The sequence below is a fragment of the Homo sapiens genome, chromosome 8, assembly GCF_000001405.40.
Source record: "Homo sapiens chromosome 8, GRCh38.p14 Primary Assembly".
Taxonomy (NCBI): domain Eukaryota; kingdom Metazoa; phylum Chordata; class Mammalia; order Primates; family Hominidae; genus Homo; species Homo sapiens.
In genome coordinates this window covers 89,234,117-89,255,794 of record NC_000008.11, presented here as the reverse complement: position 1 = coordinate 89,255,794, position 21,678 = coordinate 89,234,117, and the positions used below count along the sequence as shown (strand labels likewise).

The following is a 21,678-nucleotide window of genomic DNA, read 5'->3' as shown; positions in this document are numbered from 1 at the left end:
TCCAGGTGAACAGCAGGAGGAGAGCGGCAGGACAAGGAAGCATTATGGCCTGAGCTCCACCTCCTGTCAGATCAGCAGCAGCATTAGATTCTCATAGGACCAAGAACCTTACCGTGAACTGTGCATGTGAGGGATCTAGGTTGTGTTCGCCTTATGAGAATCTAGCTGATATGTTTAGGCTTTGTGTCCCCACCCAAATCTCATCTTGAATTATAATCCCCATAATCATGACATGTCAAGGGAGAGACCAGCTGGAGGTCATTGAATCATGGAGGTAGTTTCCCGCATGCTATTCTAGTGATAGTAAGTTCTCATGAGATCTGATGGTTTTATAAGTGTTTGATAGCTCCTCCTGTGTTCATTCTCCTTCCTGCTGCCTTGTAAAGAAGGTGCCTTGCTTCCCCTTTGCCTTCCCCCAGGATTGTAAGTTTTCTGAGGTCTCCCCAGCCATACTGAACTGTGAGTCAATTAAACCTCTTTCCTTTACAAATTTTCCAGTCTCGGGCAGCTCGCTGTAGCAGTGTGAAAATGGGCTAATATACTAACTAATGCCTGATGATCTGAGATGGAACAGTTTCATCCCAGAACCATCCTTTCCTGACTCCCTGGTCCGTGGAAAAATTGTCTTCCATGAAACCAGTCCTGGCACCAAAAAGGTTGAGGACCACTGATCTGGACAGAAAATCAACCAAGAAACACTGAAGTTAAATTGCACTGTAGACAAAATGAACCTTACAGACATTTACAGAACATTTTATCCAAAAGCTACAGAATACAAATTCTTCTCTTGATCACATGAATCATTATTTAGGATAGACCACATGTTAGACCACACAGCAGGTCTCTACAAATATACAAAAATTATAATCATAACAAGTATGTTATCTGACCACAATGGAATAAAACTAAACATCAACAACAAAAGGAACATTCAAAAATATGCAAATATATAAAAACTAAACAACACGCAACTGAATGATCAGTGGGTAAAGAAAGAAATTAAAACTGGAATTTTAAAAACTCATTGAAACAAATGAAAATAGAAACATAGCACACAAACATCTATGGGACACAGCAAAAGCAGTATTAAGAGGTGAGCTTAAAGCAATAAATGCCTATGACCAAAAGGAGAAAGATTTTCACTAAGTAATTTAAAGAGGAATCTCAAAAAACTAGAACACAAGAACAAACCACACCTAAAATAAGTAGAGGAAAAGAATTAGTAAAGATGGCCAACCAGATGCAGCCAGGAAGCACTGCTCCCACCAGAGAGTCCAAAAATTTGAGTAGACAACATAATTTGAACAGATCTGCAAAGAGAAAATGTTGAGAATGGAGACATGATGCAGACACTGAGGCTGAAGAGGGAGGAAGCTGGCAACCCTTCATGGGGTACCTGAATGCTAGAGCTAGTTCCTGGCCCCAAACAGCTCCTGAGGAAATGGTGAGTTAAAGGACTGCCCACTCATGACATGGACCTCAGAGAGACTGGTTACAGAGGACCTGATTTCCCCTACGGATGTTTGAGCTGGCAGGAGGCTCTGCCTGGAGAGTAGACAGAGACATGGTTTCACCCAGCATTAAACTGAGGTCCTTTGTGCCAATAGGCACCCATCCCCTGGGCTCTATATCTCCCTCTGAGAAGCTCTAGCCCCAGCTAAATCACTGGGCCAGGAGAAAACAGGGCCAGATCCCCTGTAGGACTGGGGTATGACTGTTCTGCAGGCCCTTCTGTCCATCACTTCCTTCCAGGGCCCCTGCCTGGCCAGTCCACAGAAACATGTGCATAGTGCAGCTTCTGCTGGCCAGCCTGGGTGCTTCCCTCCACCTGGTTACATTCCTGGTGGCCTGACAGCACATCAGATCCCTGAAGGCACCTGGAACCTGATCCTGAGGGTCTGGAAGATGGAGCCACAAGCTGATCCTGGTACCCTAGGACTGTGACACACGGCTCAGGAGTGCTGAGCTGAGATCTGTGGCTGGTACACAAGCTGGGGAGTACACCATGCTCTCAGACACTGACAGGGGTGAGACATGTGGGTTCATGGTTTGGCATGGAAGCAGGACATGCCTCTCTCTACAGGGCCAGTCCAGGAAGGTGTCCTATCTGCTTGCCATGGCCCCTGCCCAAGGTCACCCTGTGGCCCAGAACACTTAACAAAAGAAATACCAGCTCAGTGCCAGTTATAAAAGGCGACTCTGCCAAGTCCCAGGAGCAGACTTGGTGAAGGAGTCACCTCTCTCCCTCCTACGTCTAAGAGCATTGCTGAAAATCAATACAAAGGAGCTGCAAGGCTAAGAGCCTATCTACTGCCCATGACACTTATGTGCCATCTACTGGATAGTAATTCAAACTACAACACCAAAATATTTTGCTAACCCTCCCCTGTGAAACCAAGAGCATAATTCAGCCACAAACAAAGACCATGGACATACAGAGTCTTGCCCCTCTTAACATACAGAGCCTTGCCCCTCTTAAAACATTCTGGAAATGAAGCCAACTGAGTAAACTTACAGCTGAGTTAAAGGAACACAAACCTACTGAGATGAGAATCAACACAAGAACTCTGGCAATTCAAAAAGCCAGAGTGTCCCCTTACCTCCAAATGAGTCTACTAGCTCCCAGCAATGATTTCTTAACCAGTCTAAAATCTCTGAAATGACAGACATAGAATTCAGAATCTGGATGGCAAGGAAGCTCATCAGTACTAAGTAGAAAGTTGACACTCAATCAAAGGATATCAAGGAAAGTAGTAAAATGATTCAGGAGCTGAAAGACAAAACAGTCATTTTAAGAGAGAACCAAATTGAACTTCTAGAGCTGAGAAATTCACTATATTAATTTCATAATGCAATCAGCAGTATTAACAGCGGAATTGACCAAGCTGAGAAAAGAATCTCAGTGCTTGAAGGTTACTAATTTGAATCAACTCAGTCAGACAAAAATAAAGTTTAAAAAAAAAGAATTTTAAGAATGAACAAATACTCTCAAATCTATGGGATTATGTAAAAAGACCAAATAAATAACTCATTGGAATTAGTGGGAGAGGGGAGAGAATAAAAAACTTAGAAAATATATTTGTGGTTATAGCCATGAAAATTTCTCTAATATCACTAGAGAGGTTAACATGCAAATTTAAGAAATACAGAGAACCCCTGCTAGAAACTATACAGTAATGACCACCCCAAGGAACATAGTCATCAGCTTCACCAAAGTCAATGCAAAACAAAAAATCTTAGAGGCAGCTAGAGAGAAAGGTCAGGTCACCTACAGGGAAATCCCATCAGGCTAGCAGTGAACCTCTCAGTAGAAACCTTATAAAACAGAAGAAATTGGGGGCCTACTTTCAGCATCCTTAAGATAAAGAAATTTCAACCCATAATTTCATGTGCCACCAAACAAAGCTGTATAAATGAAGGAGAAATAAGATCTTTTTGAGACACTCAAACACTGAGGGAATTTGTTTCAATTAGATCAGCCTTATAAGAGGGCCTTAATAGGATGCTAAACATGGAATTGGAAGAATGACACCTGCTACCATGAAAGCATATTTAAGCACATAGCCCACAGGCACTATAAAACAACTATACAATCAAGTCTACACAACAACCAGCTAACAGCACAATGACAGATTCAAAATCTCACATATCAATACTAACCCTGAATGTAAATGGGCTAAACATCCCAATTAAAATACATAACAATGGCAAGCTGGAAAAAGGCAATACCCAACTGTTTTTTGTCTTCAAGAGACCCACCTCACATGTAATGACACTCACTGGCTGAAGGAAAGGAAAGGAGAACGATCTATCATGCAAACGGGAAACAAAAGATATCGGGAATCACTATTCTTCTACCATATAAAACCATTTAAACCAATAACAAAAAGGATAAAGAATACCATTTAAACCAATAACAAAGAAGAGCATTGGATAATGAGGAGTAAAATCCAACAAGAAGTCTTAAATATCCTAAATATATACAAAGCCAACATTAGAGCACACAGATTCATATAACGAGTTTTTCTTGACCTACAAAAAGATTTAAACAGACACATAACAACAGCAGGATAACTATGAAAACTCTCCCCAAACAAATTAGAAAATCTAGAGGAAATGAAAAAATTCCTGGAAATACTAAATCTCCCAAGATTGAACTGGGAAAAAAGTGAAAACCTAAACAGACCAATAATAAGTTCCAAAATTGAATCAATAAAAAAATACCTACCAACCCCAAGCAACCTTGGACCAGTGAATTCATAGTCAATTTCTACCAGTTGTACAAAGAAGAACTGGTACCAATCCTAGTGAAATCATTCCAAAAAATAAAAACAGAAGGGGCTCCTCCCTAATGCATTCTATAAAACCAGCATCAGCCTGATACCAAAATCTGCCAAAGATACAATGAAAAAAGAAAAAAATTCGGCCAATATACCTGATAAACAATAAACATAGACACAAAAATCCTCAATAAAATACTAACAAACCAAATTCAGCAGCACATCAAAAAGTTAATACACTATGATCAAATAGAATTATTTGATTCTACTGGGCATTATTACTGGGCTGCAAGCCTGGTTCAACATAGGCAAATTAATAACTTGATTCACCACATAAAGAGAATTAAAAGCAAAAACCATCTGATTATCTCAATAGACACAAAAAAGAATTTCAATAAAATCCAACAAACGTTCAATAAAAGCTCTCCACAGACTAGGCATCAAAGAAAAATATCTCAAAATAATGAGACATCCATGACAAACACACAGCCAACATCACACTGAAAGGGCAAAAGCTGGAAATATTCCCCTTTGAAAACTGGAACAAGGTAAGGATGCCCACTCTCACCACTCCTGTTTAACATCTTACTAGAAGTCCTAGCCAGAGTAATCAGGCAAGACAAAGAAATAAAAGGCAACCAAATAGGAAAATAAGAAGTCAAACTATTTCTCTTCACTGACAATATGATTGAATATCTAGAAAACCCTAAATACTCTGCCAAAATCCTGCAACTGATAAATTACTTTAGTAACATTTCAGGATATAAAATCAATGTATATTAATTCATAGCATTTTTATACAACAATAACGTATAGAGTGAGAATCAAAATTAAGTACACAATTCCATTTGCAATACCCATAGAGATAATGAAATACTTGGGAATACAGCCAACCAAAAATGTGAAAGATATCTGCAAGAACTATAAAACACTGTTGAAAGATCAGAGAAAACACAAATAAATGAAAAAAAAATTTCATGCTCGTGCATTGGAAGAATATTGTTAAAATGGCCATACAGCCCAAAACCATTTATATATTCAACATTACTCCTATTGAACTACCAATGTCATTCTGCACATAATTAGAATAAACTATTCTAAAATTCATATGAAACAAAAAAGAGCCTCAATAACCAAAACAATCTTAAGTGAAAAGAACAAAGTCGGAGGCATCACACAACCCAACTTCGACTATACTATAGGGCTACTGTAACCAAAACAGCATGGTACTGGTACAAAAATAGTCATGTAAACCAATGGAACAGAATAGAAAACTCGGAAATAAAGCCATATACCAGCAACCATATGATATTTGACAAGGCCAATGAAAATAAGCAATGACGAAAGGACCCTTTATTCAATAAATGGTGCTGAGACAACTGGCTAGCCATAGGCAGAAGAATGAACCTGGAATCCTATCTTTCACCACATGTAAAAAGTAACTCAAGATGGATTAAAGGATTAAAGATTTAAATGTTTTACATTACAGTTTAAATGTCAAGCCATAAAAATCTTAGAAGAAAATCCTGGAAATATCTTTCTCAACATTGACCTTGCCAAATAATTTTTGGCTAAGTTAGCAAAAACAATTGCAACAAAAGCAAGAAATTTATGAGTGGGACATAATTAAATTATAGAGCTTCTGAACAGCAAATGAAACTAGTAACAGATTAAACAGATAATTGACAGAATGGCAAAATATTTTCACAAACTATGCATCTGACAAAGGTCTAATATCAAGAATATATAAGGACCTTAAACAGTTAAACATGAAAAAATAAATAACCCATTAAAAATGCTCAAAGGACATGAACAGACATTTCTCAAAACAAGACATACAAGTGGCCAACAAAAATATGAAAAAATGCTCATCATCACTAATTGTCAGATAAATGTAAATCAGAACCACAATGACATAAAACCTCATGCTAATCAGAATGGCTATGTTTAAAAACATGAAAATCATCGCTGACAAGGCTGTGAAGAAAAAAGAATGCTTATACAATCCTGGTGGGAATGTATATTAATCCAGACACTGTGGAAATCAGTTTGGAGATTTCTCAAAGAACTTAAAACAGTGCTACCATTTGACCCAGCAATCCCATATTGCATACATACCCAAAGGAAAATATATCATTCTACCAAAAAGACACATGCACTCATGTGCTCATTGCCACATCATTCACAAAGCAAAGACATGGAAGCAACTTAGGTGACTATAAATGATGGATTGGATAAAGAAAATATGGCACATATATACCGTGAAATACGATGCAGCCATAAGAAAGAATAAAACCATGTCTCCTTACAGCAACATGAGTAGAACTGGAGGCCATTATCCTAAGAGAATTAATGCAGAAATGGAAAACCAAATACTGCATGTTCTCACTTACAAGTGAGAACTAAAAACTGAGCACACATGGATGTGAGCATGGGAAAAATAGACACTGTAGACTAGTAGAGGGGGAGGAAGACATGGGGACATAGTTTAAAAAACTACCTATTAGGAACTATGCTGACTACCTGGGTGACAGGATCCATACTCCAAACCTCAGCATCATGCAATATACCCATTTAACAAACTTGCATATATACCCTTTGTTTTTAAAATAAAAGTTGAAATTTGAAAGGAAAGAAATAATAAAGATCAAATAACTAAATAATTAGAAGTAAAAAATGGAATAGATTAACAAAATGAAAAGTTGTTTTATTTGCAGACATAAACAAAATTGAAAAACTACAAGCTAGAAGAATTAAGAAGAAAAGACCAAAATAAACAAAATTGGATTTGAAGAAGGAGACATTACAACTGATACCATAGAAATACAAAGGATAATTAGAGACTGTTATGAAGAATTATACACCAACAAATTGGAAACCCTGGAGGGAATGGGTAAATTCTTGGGACCATAAAATATGCCAAGATTGAACTAGGAAGAAATAGAAAACTTGAACAAGCAATGAAAAGTAATGAGATTGAATCAGTAACAGAAAGTCGTTCAACAAAAGAAAGCCCAGGACTGATGGCTTTACTACTGAATTTTACCAATCTTTTTAAAAAAGAAGTAACAAAAATTATTCTCAAGCAATTTTCAAAAATTGAAGAAGGAATTATTCCTAACTCATTCCATGAGAGTAGCATTACCCTGATACCTACACCAGATAAGAACAGACAAAAAAAAAAAAAAGGAAACTATAAGACAATATCCTTGATGAACATAGATGCAAATATCTATGCTACAAAATACAAACAAAGCAACACATCAAAAAGATAATACACCATAATCAAATGGGATTTATCTCAGAAATGCAAGGATGGTTCAACATAAGAAAATAAATAAATGTGATACATTGCATCAACAGAATTAAGAACAAAAACTATATTATCATCTCAATAGAGACAAAAAACATTAAATAAAATTCAATACCCCTTCATGATAAAAACTCTCAACAAATTAGGTATTAAAGACACATACCTCTACACAATAAAGGCCATATATGAGAAACTGACAGCTAACTCATACTGAATGGAGAAAAGCTGAGAGCCTTTCCTCTAATGACTGAAACAAGACAAGGATTCTCACTTTCACCACTCTTACTCAACATCGTATGAGAAATCCTAGCCAGAACAATTAGACCAGAGAAAGAAATAAAGGGCTAAGAATTTGGAAAAGATGTAGTCAAATTGTCCCCTTTCATAAACTACATAATCTTATACATAGAAAAATCTAGAGACTCAACTAAAATACTCATAGAATGATAAACAAATTCAGTAAAGTTGCAGAATACAAAACCAACATACAAAAATTAGTGGCATTTCTTTACATCAATATTAACTATCTAAAAAAATCAAGAAAGCAATCTCATTCACAACAGCTGCAAAAAAAAAAAACAAACCTAGAAATAGATCTAACTAAGGAGATAAAAGATCTTTACAAGGTAAACTACAAAATACTGTTAAAAGAAGTTGAAGAGGACACAACAATATGGAAATATATCTCATGCTCATGAATTGGAAGAATTAAATGGTTAAAGTCACTATACTTCCCAAAGCAATCTGTAGATTCAAGGCAATTCCTGTTAAGATAGCATTGATATTCTTCACAGAAATAGGAAAACAAATACTAAAAGTCATATGGAACCACAAAAGATCCCAAATAGCCAAAGTAGTCTTGAGCAAAAGAACAAAACTGGAGGGATCACACTACCAGACTTCAAAATATACTACAAAGCTCTAGTAATCAAACAGCATGGTGTTTGTATAAAAACAGACAGATAGACAAATGGAATAGAATGAATAACCTGGAAATAAATTATTGTATTTACAGCCAACTGACTTTTGACAATGGTGCCAAGAACATTAACTGGGAAAATTAACATTAACGTTGTCTATTCAATAAATTGTGCTTGTAAAACTGGATATCCACATGCAGAAGGATAATACAATACCCCTACCTCCCACCATACACAAAAATTAACTCAAAATTGGCTAAAGACTTAAATGTAAAAATCCCAAAATATAAAGCTGTTAGGAGAAAGCATAGGAGAAATGCTTTAGGGTGTTGGTCCAGGCGAAGGTTTTATAATGAAGACTTCAAAAGCACAGGCAACAAAATTAAATTATACCAATGGGACCGTATCAAAGTAAAAAGCTTCCTGACAAGCAAAGGAAACAATCAATAGAGTGAAGAGACAACCTGTAGAATGGAAGAAAATATATATAAACTAATTACCCAACAAGGGACTAACATCCATAATATTCAAGGAACTAAAAGGAACAAACAGCAAGGAAACAATTGGATTTAAAAATAGTCAAACAAAACACAAAAACTGCATTCAAACAGCCAACAAGTATATGTTTTTTAAAAAGCTCAACATCACTAATAATCAGGGAAATACAAATGAAAAGTACAATGAAATATCATCTCACTTGAGTTATAATGGCTATCATTAAAAAGACAAAAATATTCCTGTCAAAAAAGACAAAACTAACAAATGCTGGTTAGGATGTGAAGAAAAGGGTATTCTCATAAACTGTTGGTGGAAGCACAAATTAGTATACCATTATGGGAAACAGTATAAACATTTCTCAAAAAAACAAAAAATGAACTACCACATGAACCAGCAATCCTACTACTGGATATTTATCCAAAGGAAGGGAAATTAGTATATTGAGGAGATAGCTGCATCTCCATGTTTATTGCAACTCTATTCACAACTGTCAAGACACAGAGTGAAACTAAATGTTCATCAACAGATGAATGGATAAAGAAATTGTTGTATATATACAGAGAGGAATATTATTTAGCCAGAAATAATTATAAAATATTGTTATTTGCAGCAGCATGGATAAGCCCAGAAGGCAATATGTTAAGTGAAATGAGTCAAGTGCAGAAAGAGAAATGTTACATGTTCTCTTGTATATGTGGGAACAGAAAGAAAGAGAGAGAGAGAAAGAAAGAAGGAAAGAAAGAAAGGGAAGGAAGAAAGAAAGAAAGAAAGAGGGAGAGAGAGAGACAGAGAGGGAGGGAGGAGAGAAGGAAGGAAGGAAGGGGAAGGGGAAGGCGGGGAAGGAAGAAAGGAAAAGAAGGAAAAAAGGTGGTCACAGAAACAGAGAGTAGAATAGTGGTTATTAGAGGCTGCAAAGTGTAGGGAAGAGAGGACGATGGAAAGAGGTTGGTTAATAAATATAAAATTACAGCCAGACAGGAGAAATAAGTTCTAGTGTTTTATAGCACTATAGGGTAATTATGGTTAGCCACAATTTAGTGTTTATTTTCAAAAAGCTAAACGAATGTTCATAACAACAAAATGATAAATATTCAAGGTGATAGATATGCTAACTACCATAATTTTATCATCACACATTGTACATACATGCATTAAAATATCACCCTGGGCCGGGTGCAGTGGCTCACATCTGTAATCCCAGCACTTTGGGAGGCCAAGGCGGGTGGATCACTTGAGGTTAGGAGTTTGAGACCAGCCTGGCCAACATGGTGAAACCCATTCTCTACTAAAAATACAAAAATTAGCCAGGCGTGGTGGCACACACCTGTAATCCCAACTTCTAGGGGAACTGAAGCAGGAGAAACTCTTGAACCCAGGAGGCAGAGGTTTCAGTGAGCCAAGATCACACCACTGCACTCCAGTCTGGGTGACAGTGTAAGACTCTGTCTCAAAAATGAAATAACATAAAATAAAGTAAAATAAAATAAAATATTACTCTGTATCTCATAAATTAGTACAATTATGTGTGAATTAAAAATAAAAGGAGTGAATTAAAAATAAAAGGAATAGAAAATAAAGTCTCAATAAAAAAATTGCGATAGAGCAATGTACAAAAGCTATAAAAGGCAGGCTATGTAAGAACATAACTCAATGCCAAGTCATAAAAATATGCTCAACCTCACTAGTAATCAGCGAAGTACACATTCGGACAATAATAAGCTATTGTTATACATCTGGTTGATTGGCATTAATTACAAGTCTGACAATCCTAAATGTTGATGAGAATATAGAGCAATTGCTGCTGATAAGAGGACACATTATATAAACAATTTGAAAATTAATGTTTCACAGTGTAATGAATTTGGAAATGAGGAGCCTCTATAACTGAACAATTTTTTTTTCTAGCATCTGCTCTAGAAAAAGTTCTCCACATGTGTACAATGAGGCACAGATAAGAATGTTCTTTAGGTAGAGTAACAAAATATTGGATGCAACCTAAAAACCAGAGAATGGTAAGAAACATAAGTTGTGTTCTAGTTAGCAATATCATATGAAGCTGTAGTTAAATTAACTAGAGCTACATGTATTGTCATAATTTTGAGCAATAAAGGAAGTACTGGATTCTGTGTATTATTTGGTATTCTATATATGCATGTGAGAGTGTTTAAATGTGTAGAGCATCTGGTTTTCTAAGTATATATGTAGTAAAATTACAAAAATATACTAAGGGATGATAAAACTCAAAATGAGAATAGTGGTTATTTCTAGAGAGGTGGAAGGAAAGGAAATATGGACCAGTCATGGTACACCTGGAAAAAAAAGACAAAAAATTCCATCCTTGTGAGGAAATTATTTTTGGTGCTGAGTCTTTACATATGTCACTGGGGGGGTATGGTGTATTATAACTCTGTGGGAAACTAATCTTGATTAAAATAGTTTTAAAATTGTTTTTCAAGTGATATTTGAGTGACACTTGAAAGATACGTGTATTCCAAAACATCCCGCCATTGCCACAGTGTCTAGGATGCTGTCCACTTTCTTTTTTCTTAAAGGCATCCCATGGAAGATATGGAGTTTAAGATTGAAATATGAATAGTTCAAGAGAAACTTCAGCTTATAGAAGGAAAATCCTAATTCCCAATCAGTTTACCTCAGGTCAGTCTCTGAAATGGAGGTGAACTCATAACAAGCCCAGGCTGTGTTATTCAGCTCCTATTTGAAACACAAGGCCAATGACTTCCCCCATGGCTCATCTGCTCCCATGGGACAAAGAATTGGTCAGAGAAAGTTAAGAGTTTTATATGTCATCTCCCACTTCCGTGATTACTCATTCAACCTGTATTTTGAAGACAAAAATGATTCCATGTTTAAAAGCTAAATTTTTCTGTTACCCCATGTATTTGTTCACTTGTCTATGCTGTCTCTGACTAAAATTGAGCTGTGATTTTTGAGTAAGAGAGTCATATAAAAGAAATATGACAACATACCACAACAACAAGGGAGCTCACTCAGTGGGTTTGATGTGGTGGATGCCGGCTCAGGAAGTTCTGTGCATGAGTGGCACCATTTCCTGTGAATACTTGTGGGAGGTTATGCCTGATCTCTACTTCTACAGAGATCCTGAAAGAAACCTAAAAAGAAAAGCAGGCTCCTGCTGAAAAGGCTGTGACCAAGGAGGACTTTTAGGATGAATGGACTGCTCCAGCTCCTGAGTTCACTGCTACTCAGCCTGAGGTTGCAGACTGGTCTGAAGGCATGCAGGTGCCCTCTGTGCCTATTCAGCAGTTCCCTACTGAAGACTGGAGGGCTCAGCCTGCCATGGAAGACTGGCCTGCAGCTCCCACTGCTCAGGCCACTGAATGAGTAGGAGCAACCACTGAATGGTCTTAAGCTGTTCTTGGATGGGCTCTTAAGCAACATGGAAATAAAGTTGATGGAAGATAAACATCAGTTTCTAAAACAAAAAAGAGAAAGAAAAAGAAATATGACATGGTCACCCGCTTTTACTTTTCAGAAAATGTTTTAGGTTTCTGGAAGCAACCTTTGTCCCACAAATAGTGGGGACCTTACAGTTAATAATTTATATCTTGGCCAGGCATGGTGGCTCTTGCCTGTAATCCCAGGACTTTGGGAGTTCGAGGCGGGTGGATCATCTGAGGCCAGGAGTTTGAGACCAGCCTGGCCAACATGGTGAAATGTCGTCTCTACTAAAAGTACAAAAATTAGCTGGGTGTGGTGGCCTGCACCTGTACTCCCAGCTACTCAGGAGGCTGAGGCAGGAGAATCACTTGAACCCAGGAGGCAGAAGTTGCAGTCAGCTGAGACTGTGCCATTGCACTCCAGCCTGGCGACAAAGCGAGACTCTGCCTCAAAATAATAATAATAATAATAATAAATTTCCAATTCGTATTTACATCTCTTTCCTCGAATGATTCAAGGCAAGAAATATTCTTTCTTTTTCCCTTTAGTTCCTGGAAAATCTTCAGATAGATAGACCTTGTGGATTATGCACCAATCAGCTGGTCTATAGATGTTTGCCATTTATTTGCTGTCACGTAGCAACAATTTGAGCAGTCAATTGCTATCTTCAGGGTAGAAGGTGAGCAATTATCTTTCAAGAAAATGGTACCTTCTACAGTAAAATACTATAAGATATAGGATACTTCTATCATGGCTTGGCTTATTATTGGTGTGGGTATTCCATGGGTAAAAGCATCTCCCCCAAAGTATAGATATGTTAAAAGCTTCATATAAAAGGTTTAATCAGTAGTGTGCCTGAGCCATCACATATCATGAGAGCCTATTTTTAGCATCTCTTCCTTATTCCATGGTCAGTGATATCATATTATAGCTTAAAATTAACCAAAACTACATAGAAACCATCAAACACTAAAATTCAGGGCTTCACATCCTCCCTAGGAATGCTGATTGTTAAATGGGTACTTTATCTTGTAATCAGTAGTACCATGCATATCATATCTGTTATTATTTTTCTTATTCACAAGATTTTCAATGATCCATGTGAGTGGTCTCTCATTGCAGCAAATGACTCCCTCAAAAACATAATCATTAATAAAAATTTAAGACACCAAATTAGAGAAAGAGAGTCTATAATCATATTTTTTAGAGACCCTATTCTTAGTTCAGGGCCACACTCATTTTTTTAAAAAAAAAATATGGTATAGGATAATTTTAGTGGTTCCCATGTAAAATATGTAGCTTAGTTCTCAAATGTAGCCTAAATTTAGTTTATTTACCTTACTAGTTAGGAATATGTAGGCAGGGTGATAGAAACAATTATGGGTCTTCATACATAAAGAATTAAACTTTGTTCTGGAGCAAATCATTCTAGAGAAAAAGGGAGTCAATTCACTTTTGTTTTCAAGAACAGTGGCCAAGGATGGAGGGATCAACTGGTTCTTAAGGTGGTATAGCATTCATTGTTTTAGTTTGTATTCCCATACAGCTTTCTTAGAATCAATTTTGAGTACTAGGGTGTACAGTCAAATAGAACTGCTATGCATTAAGAATTAAATGCATTTAAGAGCTTCAAAGAAAAGCATTAGTGATATTGGGACTTACAGCTTTGGCTATAATTGAAGACAAGTCATATGTTGACTCTGTTCAGAGGAGATGGTATACGAAGAGCTTCAGCAGCACCAGGCAAGAGTTCTCTGTGGGTAAACCTCAATATCCTCAGTAACAGATATCAGAAGCCTCAATGCAGACAACAGCAAGCACCAGTATCACTAACATGTTTGTCAGGCAGTGGAACCTTAACCATTGTAGATCCTGGCATCAGTAGTGGGGTATCAGATTCACCACAGAGAGCTGAAATGGGATCATGAGAGAAGGAGATCTGAGGGAACTTGTATGTAAAGTAGATGTGAGACATCTGGAGACTCTCAAAACTATTTGGGAGGAATTTGAGTGAAGCTGAGATTCTTCTAGTTCAGGGAAGCATTCAACTGGAGAAATATTAGTTTCAGTTTTGACCCTATTTTGACTTTCAGGTTACTGTGATCTTAAAAGTGTAAATTACATTTATATAATATAATAAGGCATTGTAGGGCCCTGGAAGTTATTTAATACAGAGGGGAACCTTGTTTGTCTTACTCTTAGGCATGTCCTCATAAGGCTAATTGTCCTCTGTAATCCTAGCTGTTTATATAAGTCCTTAATAAATATATATTACCCTCAATTTTTGATATAGTTGATTCAAATGTCCCATGACAGTTAAGTCTAATGTTCAAGAAGGGCACTATATGCAAAGTGAAATTATAAGGTAGATATAGTGACTGAACTTCATTGGTTTTTGCTCCAAAATAGATCTGTTAGCTGTATTCTATTAATGTATTCCTGTGCAATATCTCGATGCCTTCAAGGGGCACCAGGACCTTATAAGAAGTATATGTATATATTTATAAGTAAAATATGTTGAGTGAGAAGCAACTACATCTGCTTAGGACTGCTGAGTGGGACTAGCCAACAAAGTGAGATAGTGAAAGGTCTACTTGGAATAGCTCGGTGAATTCTACTATCACTTACCAAATTTTCAAACCAAAAACCCAGCAGTTTGTTTTAGCTTTTTTACACTCCCTGGCTCCACACCATCTAATCAGATACAAGCCTTACCAATTCTAAATTCTTAAATTTCCAGTTTCTTTGTTCCTTTCCATCAACACTGCTGCCCCTAGTTCAAGTATCCATAACTCTTTCCCCTGAGCAGGTGCTTCTTTGCTGTTCTTCCTGGCTCCAGGCTTGTCTCTCTAAGCCTGCCCTTCCACATGCTATCAAACTAAGGTGCAAACCTCATTTCCTTGCTCAAATTTCTTTAATGGTTCCTTCTTCATCTGGGTCCTCCTTATCTTCCTTCACTTCCTTCTATAGTCAAATCAAGACCCACACAGTGGGAGGAATAACCCCAGCTCTCAGCAATGCAGAAAAAAATAAAAAATAAAAAAAAAACTGGCCAGCAACCTAGCTTAAAGGATCTTCACATTCTGCGGCAACGACTCTGTGGACCGACCAAGGAAGGAGAAGGGGCAGGAACCAGTAAAGTACTTCCCTGGTGGTCAAATTCTAGAGGGCTAAATGTGTGTGTGCATGAGTGACCACAAACAACCCTGCTTGCGGTGTTGTTCTTGTGGATGGTGACAAGTCCTACTGCTGGACAGAGTGAGTGGGTCCTCTCTGCGGTTCCATAGCTACCTCATATGGCTTAGGGTGGATCCTGCCATGGGATTTATACTGGCACACCAACACTAAGAGGGGCCTAATTCTCCCTTGAGGGAGCAGCCAGAGAGGACGACATGAGTGGGAAGTGTGCAAGGGACCTTCAGAGGGGGAAAAGGAAGAAACAGGTCAGCCTTCCAGGGCAGCAAGGCAAGACACCCCCTGGTGTGAGAGTTTGAGCCTTCTGGGACAGACAAGGCAAGACATCCCTGGTGTGAGGGGTTGAGCCTTCCACTAATTTCAAAGGTCGAACCTCACACAAACCCCCTCTTTCCTTTCTTCTCAGGGGAGGAAAGGATAGCTCCACTCCCACTGGTCCCTCCCCTAGGGGAAGGGGAAGGGGAAGGAGAGGGGAGAACAGCAGCACATGTGGCTGGCAGAGAGAGAGGAAAGAGAGAGAGAGAAAGAGAGAGACAGAAAGAGACAGAGAGACAAAGAGGGAGTCAAAGAGAGAGAGAGGCAGAAAGAGAGAAGAAGAGACAGAGAGACAAAGAGGGAGTCAGAGAGAGAGAAAGAGAGAGACAGAAAGTCAAAGGAGAAAGAAAGAGAGAAAGACAGAGATAGAAGTATTAGGGAAAACAAACAGTGTACTCTATTCCTTTAAAAGCCAGGGTAAATTTAAAACCTATAATTGATAATTGAAGGTCTTCTCCATGACCCTATAACACTCCAATACCACCTTGTTGTCAGTGTGAACAAGGGCATAACCTGAGAGCACTGAGGCCACTGATAACCCATAGCCTTCCTAATCAAAAATCCTTAACCCAGTAACCCGTGGATGGCCCAAGTACATTCAATCTGTAGCGACAACTGCTTTGCTAACAGAAGAAAGTAGAAAAATAACTTTTAGAGGAAACCTCATTGTGAGCACACTGCACCAGTTCAGAACTATCCTAAGTCAAAAAAAAAAAAAGGGAAAAGGTAGCTTACTCACTCAAAAATCTTAAAGTATGGGGCTATTCTGTTAGAAAAAGATGATTTAACATTAACCACTGATAATTCCCTTAACCCAGCGGGCTTCCTAACTGGGAATCTAAATCTTAATTAATTACCATATAAAGGTCCAACCAGACCTAGAAGGATCTCTCAGGACAGAATGATAGATGGTTCCTCCCAAGTGATTGAGGGAAAAAAGACACAATGGATATTCAGTAAGTGATAAGGAAACTCTTGTAGAAGCAGAGTTAGGAAGATTGCCTAATAATTGGTCTGCTCAAATGTGTGAGCTGTTGCACTCAGCCGAACCTTAAAGTACTTACAGAAGCAAGAAAGAATCTATACCAGTTCTAAGTTAATATGGACTGAATGAGGTCTTAATAGCAAAGAATAATTGAAATCCCAAACTTACAAGGTTTTCAACAAAAGTAAAGTTTGCTAAAAGTTAACACTGTAACATGTATTATCCTAACTTCTAATCTTGTGGCCTTAGACAGTCTAGTCCACAGACATGAAGGAAGTTTGCTTTTGAAAAGAATGGTTATCATCTTTGGGAAAAAAAAGGAGGGGAGGGAAGAATTTCTGTAAAAGGAATGTTATATGATAAATTGTTGTCCTAAAATAAATTAACTGGTTGTTTAAAGAAAACGATGTTTGCAACAAGTCAGAAAGTTGAGGCATGTTGAAGAATTGTCTGTAAAAGTCGTGGAAAAAAAAGTTACAGAAGGGAATTTATGCAAGAAATGTTGTATGATTTAAAAGCAATTAGGCCTCCTGAATGTGAAACTATTAAAGAAACAGTTTATGTGCAAGGTGTGTAAGGAAAGTAAAATATACTTTTGGTAAAAGGATTATAATGTAACACCAAAGGTTCTTGCCTTAGCCACGCCAAAGATTTGGTGTGGCGGCAGCCGGTGGTGAGAGAGAGACACTGATTGGACTGAGAGAAAAAAACTGTAGGCTTTATTGAGCAGAGTGACAGTACAAAGCTTCCACAATGTGGAAGGGGTTCTGAGCTGGTAGCCAGTGTTAGATTTTTTGATCACCTTTTAAACTCTTTAAGGTGGGAAATAGGTGTAGTGGGAAGGTGTTACCAGAGGGAGAGACAAAGACATTTAACATTTCTCAGATCTTGAGAAAAACAAGAATTGTAACTTAAGTTTTATCTACTTTATAACCTTGCAGCAGCATGGCAAAGGAGACAGGATCTCACCGGATTTTACAAATTGTGTTTACATGGAATTGGAATTGGGAGTATAGATAAGGTCTGCTGGTCACAGAAAAATGGGCTTTTAACATTGCTTTTAGTTTCAGGGGAGGGGGAAGGGAGAGAGGACACAGGGAAGCTTACAGCAAAATTTTCGCTGTTTATAGCTTTCTTGGGGAAGAAAACACATGCACAAATTCTGATGTTAGGAATATTTTAAGCATATATCTTCAATATTATTCATCCAGAACCAAAGTAAGTCCTGTTGCAGGAAATGAGTGAGTTTCACAGATTTCTGAGCCTCTACTCGACCCAGGAAGCCCAGCCGGCACCTCCTCTCAATAAGGAGGCATAAGAATGTGGATTTTTACCTACATTAAAAGGTTAAAAAATATTTTGTTTTAAAGGTTTAAGCAAGTTTTAAAATGTTAATTGTAAAGGAAATTATGTGTGTAAACATATTGGCTAAAGTTAAAGGGGTATCATCCAGTCTTTCTGTGAACTGAACATTAAAATAAAAGCACAACAGGTTTTTCTTAAAGCATTAACCTGCTCTTGAACAAAAATTATAAAAGATTAAAGAGAGCCTATAAAAATCTTACCTTATGGTCAGATGTTAAAATTAGATAAATATGTCTATAAGGTTTTATTGAAATTGAGTTTAACATTAATAACACACTAATATAAAGGTAAAGTTTAGCTTATCTGGTATAAAGATCATACAGGAAGCAATGTCAAATATAAAATGGTGTTTGACTTTCTTTGGTCTAAAAACTAATAAAAATCGGTGCTAAAGGAAATTTCTCAGTAAGAAGGCACCGAGGACTATAAAGTCCACTGCTGATATCCCCACATTTAAAACAAATGGTCACTTTCTTACAAATTATAAACTTGGTTTATCTTCCACTTTCCTTTCCCTCAAAACTAAAAGTCTTTTAGCACAGGTACCACCCCTAGAATTTCCAGTAAACCAGCACCAGCCTGAGGATCACATTCTCATCAATGGGTGGAAAGAAGGAAAACTCGATCCAGCCTGGGAAGGACCCTACCTTGTGCTGCTAACCACTGAAACTGCTGTTCATACAGCCAAACGGGGATGGTCTCATCACACCTGAGTCAAGAAAGCACTGTCCCCTCCAGAGTCGTGGGCCATAGTCCCAGGGGAAAACCCTACCAAACTAAAGCTAAGAAAAATTTAACTCTCTTTCATCTATTCTATTACTCTTTCTTCTTTCCTTGCTTTATTGCTGACCATCTAGTTATTAACATAACTAAGTCAATTTTGCTTCAAACTATTGCATTTAATGCTTGCCTTGTTATACCCTGTGGGGACTTGCCAAGTCAAAGACAGCTCTCTACTTCAGAAAAGTACCTCTGTCCCTCCTGACTCTCCCCAGACTGTGCAATAGTGAATTGGGATCATTTGATCTGGGGAGATTTCGATAAAGACCCCAGTGTCAACCAGGAGTCTTGCTCCCTGATGTAGAGCTTTTATGCCATAGTTGGTCCAACGTTCTGTGGACCACTAAAGAGGAAGGATGGACTCCCCGAACTGGTTTTTGTAATTTCCTAAAACCAAATATTCATTTTTCTAGAGGGACAGCACCCACCCACCCCCGCCAACTGTCAGCTAAACCAGTGCAATCCTATACAGGTTATTATCTCAAACCCTCAAAGTTTTTCCCCTTTTCTAAGCCGGTTCCCTTCTTTAAGCTAGTTTTATGGTATGGGGGGCTGAGGTTTCAGGGGCAGACCCTACTGGATTCTTTGAAATGCATTTCTTTGATCCACCGCTGCCTGCACCTTCCTCTAAGCCTTCTTACAAAACCTCTCACAATGGAACAATTGCTCCTCCTCCATCTAATGACAAGACTAAGATAGCTATTGTAGAAGTTAAAGACTTAAAACAAATTTTGGCAATTAAGATAGGATACCAAGATGCAAATTGCTGGTTGGAATGGATCAAATATTCTGTTTGCATGTTAAACAAAAGCCATTGTTATGCTTGTGCGCACAGCAGGCCAGAGGCCCAGATTGTCCCTTTTCCACTAGGGTGGTCCTCCAGTCGACCAGGCGTGGGCTGCATGGTAGCTCTTTTCCAGGATTCTACAGCCTGGAGTAACAAGTCCTGCCACACTCTCTCTCTGCTATATCCTGAAGTCCGGCACCCTGCGGACTTCAGCCCCTGAGGGCCATCCAGCTTCCATCTCCCAACACTAATTTCACCTTGTGTCTCTCATGACAGGGAGGAAACTTAGCGTTCCTTGGAGACCTGAAGGGATGCAGTGAGCTTAAGAATTTTCAAGACCTTATCAATCAGTCAGCCCTTGTTCATGTGTGGTGGTATTGTGGTGGACCTTTACTGGACACTCTGCTGAATAACTGGAGTGGCACTTGTGCTTTAGTCCAATTGGCTATCCCTTTCACCCTGGCATTTCATCAACCAGAGGAAGGAAAAATAAGACATAGTAAAGCGAGAGAAGCCCCTTATGGGTCTTTCAACTCTCACGTCTATTTAAATGCAATTGGAATCCCATGAGGAATACGAAATCAATTTAAATCCCGAAATAAAATAGCTGCAGAATTTGAGTCAATATTTTGGTGGGTGACAATAAATAAAAATGTAGATTAGATAAACTACATCTATTACAACCAACAGTGATTTATTAACTACACTAGAAATGCTGTTAAAGGAATATCTGAGCAATTAGGGGCTACTAGCCAGATGGCTTGGGAAAATAGGATAACCTTAGACATGATATTAACAGAAAGAGGAGGAGTTTGCGTCATGATTAAAACTCAGTGTTGCAGCTTCATCCCAAACAACACTGCCCCTAATGGAAGTATAACAAAGACATTGCAAGGTCTGACTGGTCTATCCAATGAGTTAGCCAGCAACTCAGGGGTAAATGACCCTTTACAGAATGGCTAGAAAAGTGGTTCGGTAAATGGAAAAGAATAATATTCTCAATTCTTACTTCCCTTGCAGCCGTAATGGGTGTATTTATTCTTGTCAGATGCTGTGTCACACCATGCATCCGTGGCTTGGTGCAGAGGCTCATAAAAATGGCACTTACTAAAACCTCCCTTAACTATCCTCTACCTTATCTAGGGAAGTGTCTTCTTTTGGAGAATCAAGCAGAACAACCAAGCCAAGACATGTTAAAAAGTTTGAAAAGAAAGAACTCTAAGGAAATGCAAGAGGAGGGGTTGTTATATATGAGTTCTACATTTCTTTTCAAAGAATCAATATGTCAGGCCAGGCACAGTGGCCCACACCTGTAATCCCAGCACTTTGGGAGGGCGAGGCAGGTGGATCACGAAGTCAGGAGATCAAGACCATCTTGGCTAACATGGTGAAACCCGATCTCTACTAAAAATACAAAAAATTAGCTGGGTGTAGTGGTGGGTGCCTGTAGTCCCAGCTGCTCAGGAGGCTGAGGCAGGAAAATGGCGTGAACCTGGGAGTCAGAGCTTGCAGTGAGCTGAGATCACGGCACTGCACTCCAGCCTGGGCGACAGAGCGAGACTCCATCTCAAAAAAAAAAAAAAAAAAAAGAAAAGAAAAGAAAAAGAATCAATATGTCAGTATGTTCAATTTTTTGTCTTCTACTTTAAAATTTCATTTCCTTATAAAGCAACCTTTTTTGATTACCTGCTCCACCCTGACTCATTCCGATTACCTGCTCTGTCATAACCATTTTCCTGGCCAAACCATCTACCCCATCACTCTCTTTAAATTAGCCAATCAGAATTAGTTTAGCCTGTGCGGTCTAACCTTAGCCAATA

At 38.2% G+C, this 21,678-nt stretch overlaps 1 pseudogene, besides 2 other annotated features; it reads left to right on the top strand.

Moving 5' to 3' along the window:
- Positions 2,181 to 2,475: a silencer, noted in NCBI's record as "tiled region #15400; HepG2 Repressive non-DNase unmatched - State 13:Ctcf". NCBI's record gives its function as "represses a minimal TATA promoter and a strong SV40 promoter by Sharpr-MPRA in HepG2 cells {active_cell/tissue: HepG2}" and the evidence as "EXISTENCE:reporter gene assay evidence [ECO:0000049][PMID:27701403]".
- Positions 3,501 to 4,002: an enhancer, noted in NCBI's record as "NANOG hESC enhancer chr8:90264022-90264523 (GRCh37/hg19 assembly coordinates)". NCBI's record gives its function as "activates a minimal SCP1, AML or CMV promoter by ChIP-STARR-seq in naive H9 embryonic stem cells {active_cell/tissue: H9 hESC(naive)}" and the evidence as "EXISTENCE:reporter gene assay evidence [ECO:0000049][PMID:30033119]".
- On the top strand, positions 11,994 to 12,471 carry RPSAP74 (ribosomal protein SA pseudogene 74; annotated as a pseudogene).